The 14,724-nt window shown below is 48.3% G+C and overlaps 1 protein-coding gene across 2 annotated transcripts in view, besides 1 other annotated feature; it reads right to left on the reverse strand.

Moving 5' to 3' along the window:
- Positions 1 to 14,724, reverse strand: part of VSTM5 (V-set and transmembrane domain containing 5) — a 32,387-nt gene that overhangs the window by 17,073 nt on the left and 590 nt on the right. The gene's annotated exons all lie outside the window — the stretch shown is intronic.
- Positions 3,959 to 4,459: an enhancer, noted in NCBI's record as "H3K4me1 hESC enhancer chr11:93572429-93572929 (GRCh37/hg19 assembly coordinates)". NCBI's record gives its function as "activates a minimal SCP1, AML or CMV promoter by ChIP-STARR-seq in naive H9 embryonic stem cells {active_cell/tissue: H9 hESC(naive)}" and the evidence as "EXISTENCE:reporter gene assay evidence [ECO:0000049][PMID:30033119]".

The raw sequence follows: 14,724 nt of genomic DNA on the forward strand, positions 1-14,724 counted from the left end.
TGCAGCTACTCAGGAGACTGAGGGGGGAAGATCACTTGAGTCCAAGAGTTTCAGGCTTCAGTGAGCTATGACTGCATCACTGCTCTGAAGTCTGGGCAAAAGAACAAAACCCTGTGTCTAAAAAAATTTAAAAAAATTAAAAAGAAATTTCTTTATAAAGTATGCAGTCTTTGGTATTTAGTTATAGCAACCAAAAATAGGCTAAGATACTCTGATCTGCCATTAAATCACAGAATTCCTTGAGCTTGATCCTAGGCCCTGTCCTTTATTCTTTATTCTCTCCCTAGGTAATCCCATCTATGCATGCAGCTCTGAGTCCAGTTACTTCCAAATTCACATCACCAACACAACTGCACCTTTGAGTATCAGAATTATTAATCCAACTGTCTGCTTTGCCTCTGCACCTGCCAGTTGACAGGCACTTCAAAATCAACATCTTCAAAGATAAATTAAATGCACACAGAATTGAGTCTACAGCCATGACTATCTGGAAAGATACAGAACTTGGTAACACCTATTGGCTCCAGGGGGTAAGGAGGAGGAACTCGGTGGCTGGAGGACAAGACAGGGAGGCTTTTACAGATACATATTTTGAATTTTGGACTGTGTGCAAATACTACCTATTCAAACATAAGCAAAAACTAAAGAAGCAAATTAATTTTAAAATAAAACAATAAATGTATAATCCCATCTCCCAGATTTGGTCGTCTGGTGTCCCCAACCTCAGTGAAAGGCTCTCCCAGCCAGTCAGCTCCACAGGACACCATCCTGACACCTTCTCCTTCCTCATCCACTACATCCCATCTGTCACAGGGTCCTGTCAATTTTACCTCCAACATGTAACTTGAATCTGATTTGTGTGCTCTTTCTTCTACCATCACCCTAGTCCAAGCCACCAATTCATGAATGGTGACAATGGTCTCTCAATGTGCTTCACTATGCCTGCTTAATCCCCGCTAACTTACTGTCTACACAGCATCCTGAGTGATATTTTCAAAACTTCATTGTATTTTGTCACCCTCCTGTTTAAAACCCTTGTCTGGCTCTCCATTGCTCTAGGAATGAAGTCAAACCCCTTCAAAGGCTTGACTGGCCAGGTGTCATTTGGCTCCTGCCCATCACTTAGGCCTCAGCATCCTCAGCACGCCCTCATACCCTGAGATCCAGGCACACTGCCCTTTCTTCAGCCCCTTGGATTCATCTCGTTCTCTCACACTGCAGGGACTTAGCATAGGCTACTCCCCCTGCCTGCTCCCTCGTTTGCCTGTTAACCTTCATTCATCCTTCAGATCTCAATCATCGCCTCTTCTGGGAAGTCTATCCCAACTCCAGGCTAGGTCAGGTCTCTTCTTGTATGTTTTCATAGCACTTTTCCATCATAGTAACTATCACAGTTTGTAAGTATACACTTGTGTGGGTATTTGACATCTGTTCTCCCTTTAGACTGTAAGTTCCATGAGGGCAGGAGTTGCCTATTTGGTTCCCTGTTGCAGCCCCAGAACTTTGCAGAGTACCTGGAACATGGATGAGAATTTACGCTCAGTGACTCCCCTTATAGGGTTGTACATCTGATCTGGAGGTATGGGGTACAGAACCCAGGACTATGCCAAGCTGAGCACAGGATCAGAACTTTGGACTCCACAGCCAGTTCTTGTGTGACCCTTGGGATCCTATTTGCTTCCTTCTTTTTGCCTGAAAAAAAAAATGCACACACACACACACACACACACACACACATATATTTTGAGATGGAGTCTTGCTCTGTTGCCCAGGCTGGAGTGTAGTGTCATGATCTTGGCTCACTGCAACCTCCACCTCCCAGGTTCAAGTGATTCTCCTGCCTCAGCCTCCTGAGTAGCTGAGATTACAGATGTGTGCCACCACACCTGGCTAATTTTTGTATTTTTAGTGGAGCTAGGGTTTCACCATGTTGGCCAGGCTGGTCTCGAACTCCTGACCTCGGGTGATCTGCCCACCTTGGCCTCCCAAAGTGCTGGGATTGTAGGTGTGAGCCACCTTGCCCAGCCTGAAATATATTTTTGATCCTTCCGTCTAAACATCCCTGTATCACACACATGCATGTGCATGCACCCATGCTGCTACGTATGCCCTCATGCACACACAGCCCAGTTTCTGAGTTCCTGGCAAATGGGGCCACATAGGAAAGTAATCCCAGGAAATGTACCAGGGAAGCAAGGGCTTCAGAGGAAATCAGTCAAGCAGAAGTGGGTTCCAATATCGATCTGCCCTTTGTTAATATCATGACTTTGGCCAAGTCAGCTCAAAGTCACTGACTCTCTGTTCCTCATGTGTAAAACAAGGATGTCCATAGATACCTCACAGATCGGATATGTTAGAAAGAATTAAAGTGAATGCAGTATGCCGAATGCTTAGCACAGTGCCCTCACCCCACAAATAAACAATAAATGGTAGGCACGGGTATACCAGGGCTATATGCCAGCCACACCCAGAAGAATCTTAGGACTAATCAGAAGATAATACATGGTGTGCCTCAGGCTGTTGCAAACACACCCATAAAAAAAGGAATTTTTAAAATAAAACAGGTAAGCTGCTTCTCTGACTCTTAAGAGGAAGCTCAGCCAACTGCATGGCACAACTGATTCAGAGCAACGGGGGCCAAGAGATCTGCTGGTGGGTGCAGAGGGTGGCACAGGAGGGCAAGATGCAGGGGGGTGGGGGTGGGAGTGTGCAGGGAAAGCCAGAAAAGGCCCTTCCCAATCCCTGCTGGGGAGAGCACATACAGTGGAGCCGAAAGACCCAGGTTCTATCTGGGCTGCACACGCTATAGCTGGGCGACTCTGCACAAACCCCTTCCCCTTTCCGAGCCACTTCGTGGCTTTTCTGTCAATGATTCAATTTAAAAAAGTCAGGCGTGGTGGCTCACGCCTGTAATCCCAGCACTTTAGGAGGCCTAAGGCGGGTGGATCACTTGAGTCCAGAAGTTCGAGACCAGCCTGGCCAATGTGGTGAAACTCCGTCTCTATTAAAAATACAAAAATCAGCCAGGCGTGGTTGGGGCAACTGTAGACATAGCTACTCGGGAGACTGAGGCAGGAGAATCGCTTGAACCCGGAAGGCAGAGGTTGCAGTGAGCCAAGAACAGGCCACTGCACTCCAGCCTGGGCGACATAGCCAGACTCCATCGTAAAAAAACCCACAAAAAACAAAAACAAAAAAGCAACCAGGCCGAGCACAGTGGGTCACACCTGTAATCCCAGCACTTTGGGAGGCCGAGGTGGGCAGATCACTTGAGCCCAGGAGTTCAAGACCAGTCTTGCCAACATGGTGAAATCCCGTCTCTTAAAAAAAAAAAAAAAAAAAAAAAAGCTGGGTGTGGCGCTGGCGCCTGTGTTCCCAGCTACTGGGGAGGCTTAGATGGGGAGGATAACTTGAGCCTGGGAGGTCAAGGCTACAGTGAGCTGAGATTGCACCACTGCTCTCCAGCCTGGGTGACAGAGCGAGACCCTGTCTAAAAAAAATAAAATGAATAAACAAACAAAACCATACAGGTAAGAAAGCCTGACAGCCAAGAACAATTCCAGGGGCACAAGCCCTGATTCCAGACCAAGAGAATTCAGTCTCCTTCCACTCAAGAAGCATTTGGGGGAAAGACAGGGTCGGGGACCAACATTTAAGGAGCTCCTGCTCTTGGGCCCATGCTCCAGCCCCACTTAGGAGTCCCTAATGAGTGAATTCAGCTGCCCAGCCAGCAACGCCAGGCTCTTCTTACAGCCCGGCCCCTGCAGAAAGGGCCTTGAGAACCCGCTTGCAGTGATTGGCCCAAGGCTGATACCTGATCTGAACTGGGCCAATCAGATTCTCTGTCCCGAGAGTGTGAACTTAGGATGCGGGGCCTCTTAGACCCTGTGGTGGCCCCAAGAGACAGGCTGCTTCCTGGAGGCCACAGTAAGTGGAACAGAGAAAGCTGGTTCTGGCAAGAGGCTGTCGGGCAGCAGGAGAGACTGGGCTCCCGTGGCCCAGGGACTGCTGGGGAAAGGAGCTGCTGCCGTGGACACATATGGCTTCTGGGGTCCTGGTTCCAGGTCTAGGGAGAGGCCTGGCACCTCTGCCCCTGGCAGGTACCTCTACTTCCCTCTGAATACACTTTCCCTTGGGTGTCTCCTGCTCCTTAGAAGTTATTTGGCCTCCCTGAATCTGTTTTCTTCAGGCATAAAGTGGGAATAGCAACGCCTGCTTTGCATGGTTGTGAAAACTCAGAGTATGACACGCAGTAAGCACTCTCTATGAGGTGCATTAAAAAGAAATATTATCATAGTCCACCAGTGCCAGCTTGAGGAAGTGGGGCAGTGGCGTGATCAGGCCTGGTAGGGCATGGGTGGGAACTGCAGGCTACAGGTAAGGATGGAATCTAGGTAGTGGTTGGTTCCATTCAGACCTGCGCTCTACCCAAAGCTCCCGCCCTTTTTGCCTGTTATGGTTTGAATAGTGTGTCGCCAAAAAGATATGTTGACGTCCTAACCAGAACTCAGAACGTGACCTTATTTGGAGATAGGGTTGTTACAGAGGTAATCAAGTTAAAATGAGGTCATTACAGTGAGCCCTAATCTAATATGACCCTTCTAAAAAGGAGACATTTGGATATAGAGACATACATGCACGTGGAGTGAGTGCCGTGTGAAGATGAAGGCAGAGATCAGAGGATGCATCTGCAAGCCAGGGAATGCCAGATTGCCAGCAAACCACCTGAAGCCAGGGAGCGACATGGAATAGTCCCTCTTACAGGCCTGAGAACTAACCAGCCCTGCTGACACCTTGATCCCAGACTTCTAGCCTTTAGAACTTGGAGACAATGAATTTCTGTTGTATAAGCCACCCTAGCAAATGCCCTTCTGTGGCTTTTATTTCCAGAAATAATTGTCCTCAGTTTTCTGATTGAAAAGGACTGAATCAGCTAATCTGTTGTTTTCAAAACTTGATTGTGCATTAGATCATCTGGGGAAGGTTTTACAACATTCTCCTGGATCAATGAACTCAGCATCTGAGGGTGTGACCAAGGCCTCTGTGATTTTTTAAAACTTCCCATGTGTTTCCAGCGTGCATCAAGATTGATAACCACTGAGCTAATCCACACTGAGGTGTTAGCAGCTGAAGACCATTTATTAGAATTCCTTTACAGCAGGCACAACGCCTGAAGCCAAAGAACTATGTGAAAGAGCAGTGTTGGAGACACTAGGGACAGCTCTTTCAGGAAGACAGTTGGGGGAAATGGACTATTTCTGGCATCACTCAAATTTTACTGTATCTGGCTAGTCCTATTTCTAGGGATGCTCTGGGGGCTTAGGAGGAAGAACAGGCAGGCAAAGTCATTCCATTTGCTCCCTCCACCCCCTTCAAAACTCTAACACAGTGGTTCTCAGCATTTGGCTCCATTAGAATCACCTGGAGGTGATCACGGAACTAGATTGCAGGGCCCGGTCCCCAGTTTCTCATTCAGTAGGGTGAGGTGAGTCCTAAAAGTGCATTTCTAACAAGTGCTTCTGAGGCAGGAGAATAGGGTCTATAGGCAGGGAACTTAGGGCCCATTCGTGCTGACTTCCTAAAGCTGAATCAAGAGAAAACACCAAGGTCTGGGGCAGGGAATCTGAGGCCAATTCATGATAATTTCCTAAAGTTAAATAAAAGGGAAAACACCTGGGTCTGGGGGCAAGGAACCTAAGGCCAATTAACAAAAACGCAGTAAAGCTAAACCAAAAGGAAAAACCCCACCTTCGCAGGCCCAGAGGCTACTCTCTCTACACCTCTCCCCCTCTTCCAGGTCTCAGAGGGAAAGGGAGAGTGCCTTAGATTGGCCTCTGGCCAAGCATGGGTCATCTCTTTATCTGCATAGGCCACCAATTCACTTCAGCCTTTAATTAGCCACGGACCTAATCCTTCATCCAGGTAAGGGGTAACCAACAGGGACTTCAAAAGAGTACTTCTAACCCAGAAAACATTGTAAACTCTGGCTCAGGCTGCCCCCACCCTGCAGAGTGCTTTCTTGCTGTAACAAATCCCTGCTTTTGCTGCTTCATTCCTGTGTTTCATTCCTTTGTTACTTCATGTGTTTTGCTGAATTCTTTGTTCAAAACACCAAGGACCTGGACAACTCACTCAAGGCTTTCCTTCTGGTAACACCTAGGTGATGCTTCCTTCACCCTCTTCAAAACTCTAACACAGTGGTTCTCAGCATTTGGCTCCATTAGAACCACCTGGAGGTGATCACTGAACCAGATTGCAGGGCCCGGTCTCCAGTTTCTCATTCAGTAGGGTGACACTGCTGGTGGTCCCAAAACTGTACTTTTAGAACTTTGGCTGAAAGGATTCTGTAAGACCTCAGGGCGAAGAGGACACCAAGGATGCCCTCAGGGTCCCAGGAGGCCAGGCCCTCCTCTCCTCTGACACTGCTCTGCTAACACCATACCTGCCAGGCAGGGGCTAGTCTGTGATGCAGCACTTCTTATCTTGGGGAAGGAAAGTTTTGGGACATGCAGTCATTAACAGAACCAGGGTCAATGGATCAAGAGTGAAAGGACACAGGTTCTGGTGAACGGAATTGAGGCAGTGTGTGTAGAACAGATGCATTCATGGATTCTAGAGTCAGACTAACTGGTGTTCAAAATTTAGCTGTGCCAGTAACAACTGTGTGAACTGGGGTAAGTGAGTTACCTTCTTTCAGTCTCTGTTATGGTACCTAGGAAATAAGGATAATATAATAGTGCTGTGCCCGCCTCCTGCAGCAGAATAAAATTTAAATGAGACAATATATGTAAAGAGCTTATCAGTCTCTAACACTTGGTGATAGCTCAATAAATAGTAGGTATTATTAATGATAATTCTTTGAAGATGCACAGGCTTTTTTGGTAAGGTAATGATCTCCCCATCCTTGGGGGTATGTAAGCAGAAGCTGGAGTTGTACCAGGGATTAAAGCAGAAGATCTGAGACCGGGAGTGTTGGAGGAGGAGGCTGGTTCTTCTGCTCCAGATCACATAATGGAACTGGAATAAGCACTTGTAAACCTACGATTCACTTCTGAAGTGTGGCAAGACTGGGCGACCTGAAATTCTTTCCTGTGGAATTCCTTCTAGAATCTTCCTACCACACCTTTTCCAGGCACCAACAAGAGCCACCTTGCTGGAAAGCTGGACTGTTTTCTGAAAGACCACAGGGTATGTAAAAGCCACTGCCGTGATTCTGATCAGATGCCAAGGAAGCAAGGCATGACAGCAGCCACTGCCTCACCCTGCACCAGTGTGCAAGGGGTTGGGGAGCTGGCTGGGTTTGCCGTCTGCAAAGCTGGGTGGCAAGACTGAGTCAGGCCTGGGCCAGCGGCCAGCCTGGGGAACTAGAAGGTGCGGTCAGTAAATGTGTGTTGAATAGGAAGATAAGGGAGAAAATGAGGTGTTGTTATCTCCCAACAATTCTTTTGAGGGGATGTTATAGGATGCCTGAAGGTACTTGGAAGAGGGGTATAAAGTGATCAGAAGATCATTCAGGGCCGGGGACAGCGGCTCATGCCTGTAATCCCAGCACTTTGGGAGGCCAAGGCAGGTGGATCACTTGAGGTCAGGAGTTCGAGACCAGCCTGGCCAACATGGTGAAACCAAAAATACAAAAATTAGCTGGGTGTGGTGGTGCACACCTGTAATCTCAGCTACTCAGGAGGCAGAGGCAGGAGAATCACTTGATCCTGGGAGGCGGAGGTTGCAGTCAGCTGAGATCACGCCACTGCACTCCAGCCTGGGCAACAGAGTGACACTCTGTCTAAAAAAAAAAAAGAGAATTCAGGCACATGCGTAACTGGATACCACAGGTTCGAGTAAATTCTCCTCCAGAAAAACTATTAGGCCAATTCCTCTTTATCCTTTAAGGTTTCTGTTTAAACATCATTTCCTCCAGGAAGCCTTCCCCAATCCCTAGCACCAGGTTAAGGGTCCCATTTCTGTGTTCCCATTGTTCCCTGTTTCTCTCCAGCAACACACTTATCCCTCTCTGTTGTAATTCCTCTTGATGAATGGTTCATCCTCCTCGATCTGCCGTCAGCTATGTGAACACAGGGGTTGGTCTGTCTTGGTGACCATTGAATCCCCAGGGCCTAGCACAGTGCCTGGCACTGTGGACTTCTCATATGTACCTGAATGAATGAATGAATGAATGAATGAATGTCTTTAGGCAAGTCCCTCAACTTCTTTGAGCCTCAGTTTCTGCACCTATAAAATAAGGACTAATGGCATCTCGTTGCAGGCTAACTCTGAAGATGAATCAAAAGCAGCTGTTACAGTGCCTGTCATGAAGTGCTTGGTAAGCAGTCACAGTTATTATTGTCTTGTAATTGTTATTTATTAAGTTATAAAAAACTGAGGAGATACTGGCTTTTCATCTCTTCAGTTGGCTGGAGGCTATTATCAGTGATCTTTCTAAGCCACACATCTAGCTGTCTTCCCTGGCTCTGACAGACCTCAGTAATCTGGTCCCAACTTTCTTTTCCATCTACATCTCCTATGACTCCTCACCCCCAATTCCAGTTGTACCAAACTACAGACCATCACCCACTGGGCCTTTATTCACTCAACCTCAGCTCAGCTCACCGCTTTCCCATTCTCAGGTTCCTGCTCACTCTTCAAGGCCCATCTTTAATGTCATCTCCTCTGCCAGGCCCCACTAGGCTCCCACAGCACAGCTCACACCAGCCTTCCACTCACGTTAGATGACTGACTGCCCATCTCCCCTGTTAGAAAGTGTGGCAGGTATCACATTGTGCTTATGTCCGAATCACCAGCACACAGCAGTATGTGATGTGACTCATACAAGCATGGGCTGTGGAATTGAATTGACCTGACATAAGGGAGAAAGTTCTGGTTCAAGAACCTCTGAAATCCCATCCCGAAGTGCGTGGAAGCCTTGGTGGATGGGGAGAGGAGAGAGGAGCTCTGGTGTTCTGCTTTGAGGCATTGGCTTTCAAAAAGAATGTGATCCAGTCCCAGAGTGAGTCTGGGGCAGGAATCTTGTATGAGTACAGAAGGGCAAACTGTCAGAGGAGCTTGACATTAGGTCCCCTTACCCGTGCCTAGTGCTGAAGGACCCACATCGCCCTTCTCCTCTGGCACTAATATAGGGGCCTACTGGAGGAATTATTCCAGCACCTTTCACCCAAGATGCAAAGCCTTCCCAAGCTCCAAAACCTTCCCAAGCTCCATTCCCTTAACCATCAGACAACTAGTTAGACTGCATACAAGGAAATTAACATGAGTCGAAAAGCCTGATTAAAGTAAAGAATGATCACCCCTTCTACTGGCCCACAAAGAGAAGGTGGTTGTCCTCACAGTTCGCCAGTGCTAAGAACTTTCTCTCTCTCTCCTTACCTGACTACCTCCTACGTTGCCATCAAGGCCTCTTCTTCAAGAAGCTCCTCCCATTCCAAACCGAGCTAACTGCCTTTCTCAGTGCCCCCAGGGCATCTGACAGCGAATCAGCTGCTTAGGTTTTGACTTACAATCCTTCAGTGCAGGGCCCCGCTGCTACCCCAGCTCTTGGCAAGCTGTTCCAGGCACAGTGCGTGCTCAGGAACCATTTATTGAGCCAAACCAGACTTCCCAGCAAAGCAGCCTTGTCTTCTGCCCTCAGCCTTGTGGGAAAGTATTTTCAGGCTTGTCAGGATAAAACCACAAAGACACAGGTGAGACTCTAAGACACAACGTTGGGTGTTCTGAGAACAGCAGGAGGGAGATGTGCTGAACCAGCTGTTTCCATAGGATCAGACTAATGGAGGGGAATGGTCTAGTCTAGTGCAGTAGTTCTCTGGCCACACATTGGAACCACTGAGGAACTTAAAAGCAAAACAAAACAGTGTCTGGGTCCTGCCCTCAGAGATAGTGATCTAATTGGTCTACAGCAGGATGTGGGCATCTTACTAGGTCCGTGTACACTCAGAGAAAGATGACCCCACATATGGGGCTTACATACACCACTGGGATTGGCATGGGCGCTGTCAGCTGAGGATTCTCTGCAGCAGGGCTCCTCTGGGGTCAGCATGGCACGGACCTGAACTGCCCCAGGGTGTGTCTCAGCAGAGAGAAAGCCTAGCATGCTCCCTTGACCAGCTGGACACATGGACAAAAAATGTCCTGTGCTCCTTTTACTGTCCAGTGTGTCATTTTTCCTTTTCCTAAAAGGATGACGGGTAACTTCCCAGCCCAGCAAACCAGTTATAGGAGGGGCGAGTCGTTTCCAACTTGAAACTTGTCAATCCCCATCCCTCCCACTCTCATTCCTGCTGGATAAGTAATTACTTTCCAACTCCAAGCCCATTTTCCAGGGAAAATCCAGGTGCAGAGAAGCCAGCGTCTTGGGTGCACAGTGGGGCTCCAGCATCAGTGGGGTCTCTGAGTGGGGCAGTGGCTAAGTTCCCATGGGTGCATGCTAGGGCAACTTCCACTCCCTCTTCCCTTGCCAGGTCCCCAGAGGTATTGTGCACCTATTTTTTGAGCACCTGCTGTATGCCTCCAATTCTCTTCTCCACCCTGTCCTGCTGTACACACTTACTCATCTTTCAAGAGTCAACCTCACCTGCTCCATGAAGTGTTTTCTGACTCGCCAGGCAGGATGCCTCCCATGACTGGCAGAAGCAACACACATTCTCTTTGGAATAACTCAACTTCAATCCAGGCTGACAAAAATTGTATTAAAGCCTTTTTGTGGGTTTGTTTTAGAGACAGGGTCTCACTGTGTTGCCCAGGCTGGTCTCAAACTCCTGAGCTCAAGTGATCAAGTGATCCTCCCACCTCGGCCTCCCGCGTAGCTGGGACTGCAGGTGTGTGCCACTGTGCCCAGCTTCAAAGCTATTGATTTATAACATGAATTCTGACTTTAGATATAGTAAGTTTTTTTTTGTTTTTTCCCAAAGAGTCTTACATCAGATAAGGGATATAGCTGTCCTTAGGTCCTGGGGATAATGGAGAGGAGAGTCTCCTGGCCCTTGCCCCGCTCCTAGACCAGCAGGGAGCATACTCAGGAAGGCTCTTGGAGATCAGGAAGTAAGACATTTGTGTGACTTTCCAGTTGACTCCAGCCCGCACCCCCAACAGCTTCAATTTTGTCTTTCAGGCATTTTCTGAGATGGGGAGGAAGTGTGTGTGCAGGGGTGCCCATCAGCCAGGGAGCTGGCACCTCTTCCATACGATGTGCGCATCACTAGCACTGCACACATCACCCTGTATGAGGAGTTTCTCTCCCCTGAGTGAGGGCTAAAAGCTGAAAGCTTAATTGTCCATCAGTGGGGTCTGGCTAAGTAAAAAGCAGCATATTTATATGATGACATATGTAGAGAAGTTGAAAGGAATGCACTTCCTTTATCAACATGGATAGAGCTAAAAAAAATTGGTGTAAAACTAAGTTGCTGAATAAACAGTACAGAATGAATGCATTTTTAAAAAATTTTTTTTAATTTTTTTTTTTTTTTTTTTGAGATGGAGTCTCACTCTGTCACCAGGCTGGAGGGCAGTGGCATGATCTCGGCTCACTGCAACCTCTGCCTCCCGGGTTCAAGCGATTCTCCTGCCTCAGCCTCCCAAGTAGCTGAGACTACAGGCGCCTGCCACCACGCCCGGCTAATTTTTGTATTTTTAGTAGAGACGGGGTTTCACTGTGTTGGCCAGGATGGTCTCGATCTCTTGACCTTGTGATCCGCCCGGCTCGGCCTCCCAAAGTGCTGGGATTACAGGCATGAGCCACCATACCTGGCCCCATGATTGCATTTTTTAAAAGTACATTGGAAACTCACTTTTTTTCCAGTGGGTACATTTGTATGTATGCAAAAATATTTTTTATAAATCTGAAAGGACAGTGCAGAGTGAGACCACACCTCATGTGTCTCTGTTTGATCAGGGATCAGTGCACGGCCCACGGCAACATAGTAGGTGCTTCTAAGATGTTTGCCACATGGATGGCAGCGTTGGGCAGCTGCTGAGGACTTATGGAGTGATGGACCCAGAGTCTCGTGAAGGGCCTTGAGAGGATTCCTTCTATACTGGCTCCCTCCTCATCCCATCCGCCCCCACCTTCCACTAAGCCCAGAACCCACAGCTCCATTCTGGCTGTGGCATCCCTGGGTCTGTCCACTCCCTCCTCAGCTTCAGATTCAGCCCTAGCCCTGTTCCTCTATTTTTCTGAGGACTGGCCCCAGTGTGTATATGTGTGTGTGTTGGGGGAGCTGACTGTTACTTAGAAACTGGGATTGGAAAAAAGCAAGTTGATTCTGGCCCAGGCCATTAACTAAACTATCCTACTATAGTCTTGGATCAAGTACTTCCGAATGAGAGGGAGCACTGGGTGGGTACTCGTGAGCCTGATGGCTAATGTACTGGGAAAGGACATGAACAAATGTTCTAGAAAGGTGCCTGGTCTGGTGGGGAGGCCTGCCAGCTTTCCGAGCCCATAAGTCCTTGTCCTAGTCAGCTTGGGCTGCTGTAACAGATGACCATAGACTGATGTGGCTTAAACCACAGTTATTTCTCACAGTTCTGGAGAGGCTGGGAAGCTCAAGATCAAGGTGCCAGTTTTTGGTGAGGGCCTTCTTCCTGGCTTGCTAATATGCATTTTCTTGCTGTGTCCTCACACAGCTGGGAGGGAGAGCTCTGGTCTCTCTTCCTCTTCTTATAAGGACACTAATCCCATTATGGGATCCCACCTCAAGACCTCATCTAAACCAAATCACCTCCCTAAATCCCCTCCTCCAAATACCATCACATTGGAGGTTAGGGCTTGAATATATGAATCTTGGGAGGACCCATACATTTGTAGGGGAAAGGTTTCAAAAGCAGGGTGTTTGGCATGCTTTAACTCAGACTTCAGGGTAAATAGTGAATATCAGAGGTTCTGGATGAAGCTTTTGACACAGGCAGAAGAGGTAGAGCATGCAGGGAACTGGTAGGAAGGAGGAGGCCTACTCTTCATCATTATGACTGGCTCCAAAGCACAGGCTTCATTCAGGCAGGCACACATTCATTTAACGTCTTTTAAGGGCGCAGGCCCTGGCTAGCACTGGGCAAGTGCTAGGGACCCTGAGTTGAAACAGAGTGCTTGCCCTCCTGGAGCTTACTGCTGTCCATGAGACAGGTCTCAATGGAAAACTGCAAACTTTTACCTGGCCTCCAGGTTTTGCATGTGCCATTTTGTCTGGTACACCCTGCATTCCCTTTGTCCTGTCCCCCGAGCTGCTCCTACCCATCTGGCAGGTATGGGCAGGTGGGGCTGTTTTGGGGAAGTTTCCTCAAGTCTGGATTCTGAGACGCTAGGGCTTCTAGAACATGGCACCTCTTGCCTCTCAAGGCTTGCCATTGCAAGGCTGCCCCTCTTGTTTGCATGTCTGTCTTCTCCATGACACCTGAGCTTCCTGAGAACGAAACAGTGAACCACCATATCCTAGGTACCCACTGTGGCCTGCTTCCTGCAGGGAGAGGGTACAGTCAATGAGTGAGTGAATGAATGAATTATACGCTATTGCAAATGGCTGGTCCCTGAGCATGAGGGGTATCTGAACAGATGTGTAAGTATGGTGATTAGAAACAAGTGATAAAGGTTTGAGAAATAATATAAAAAGCCACTGCAATGACAAACACACCCATCCACCTGCTCGAGACTAACAACCAACTGTTTTCTTGATCCATAGCTGCCAGAGGAACATGCCTCTGTCTTACTGGGTTTCTGAGATTTGCAACCTCTGCAGCTGGGTTCTAGCCAGAGAGGTGTAAAGGTCAAAAATGTTAGATCGTTCAGTCACCTTGTATAAGTTAACATAATATTATTTTTTCTCTCTCTCTCTTCTTTTCTTTTTCTTTCGCTTTGGAGAAGGTCTCATTCTGTTCCCCAGGCTAGAGTGCAGTGGCACAATCAGGGCTCACTGAAGCCTCAATCTCCTGGGCTTAAGTGATCCTTTCACCTCAGCTCCCCCGCCGCCCACCCCAGTAGCTGGGCCTACAGGCACAGGCCACCACACCCAGCTAATTTTTTCATATTTTTACTACAGACAGTTTGCCATGTTGCCCAGGCTGGTCTTGAACTCCTGGACTCAAGGGATCCGCTGGCCTCGGCCTCCCAAAATGCTGGGAATACAGGCATGAGCCCCTGCGATTGGCTTATAACATTTCTGTGCCTCAGTTTCCTCACTTGTGAAACAGGAATAAGAGTAGTTTATTAGGGTTGCCCTAAGGACTAAATGAGAGAGGTCTTGTAAAGTCTGAGGGATGGTGAATGCATAAATGCTTAATAAGTGCTGGCTCTTACTACAAGGCCTCTCACCTCCAGCGGCCCTGCTCTGTCATTCTCTAAACCTCAGTTGGCCCATGTGTAAGATGGGAGTGCGAATGGTAATGATTAAATGAGAAAGTAAAACTGTGCTAAGATCTGTTGTTTGTGTCCAAGAGAGCCTCTGGGACTACGCTTCGCATCCAGGCTCACCAGGCTGGGGATTCCGGGTCCGGCCATCCAAAGCAAATCTACTCAGTGCGCTGGTCGCGAGGACCACCTCCAGCCTGGGGACTTCAGGCCACAACGCCCAACCCAAACCCCAGAACCGTTTTTCTCACGGGAGCAGGCTGCTGTGGGTTCGTCTGACTGATAAGGAGGCCTGATTATTCTCCTGGGAGATGACCAGGAAGGCCATGGAGGGGTCCCCACAGTAGGGGGCGGCGCACGGACTGCAATCTGGT

The sequence above is a fragment of the Homo sapiens genome, chromosome 11, assembly GCF_000001405.40.
Source record: "Homo sapiens chromosome 11, GRCh38.p14 Primary Assembly".
In the NCBI taxonomy this organism is placed as follows: Eukaryota; Metazoa; Chordata; class Mammalia; order Primates; family Hominidae; genus Homo; species Homo sapiens.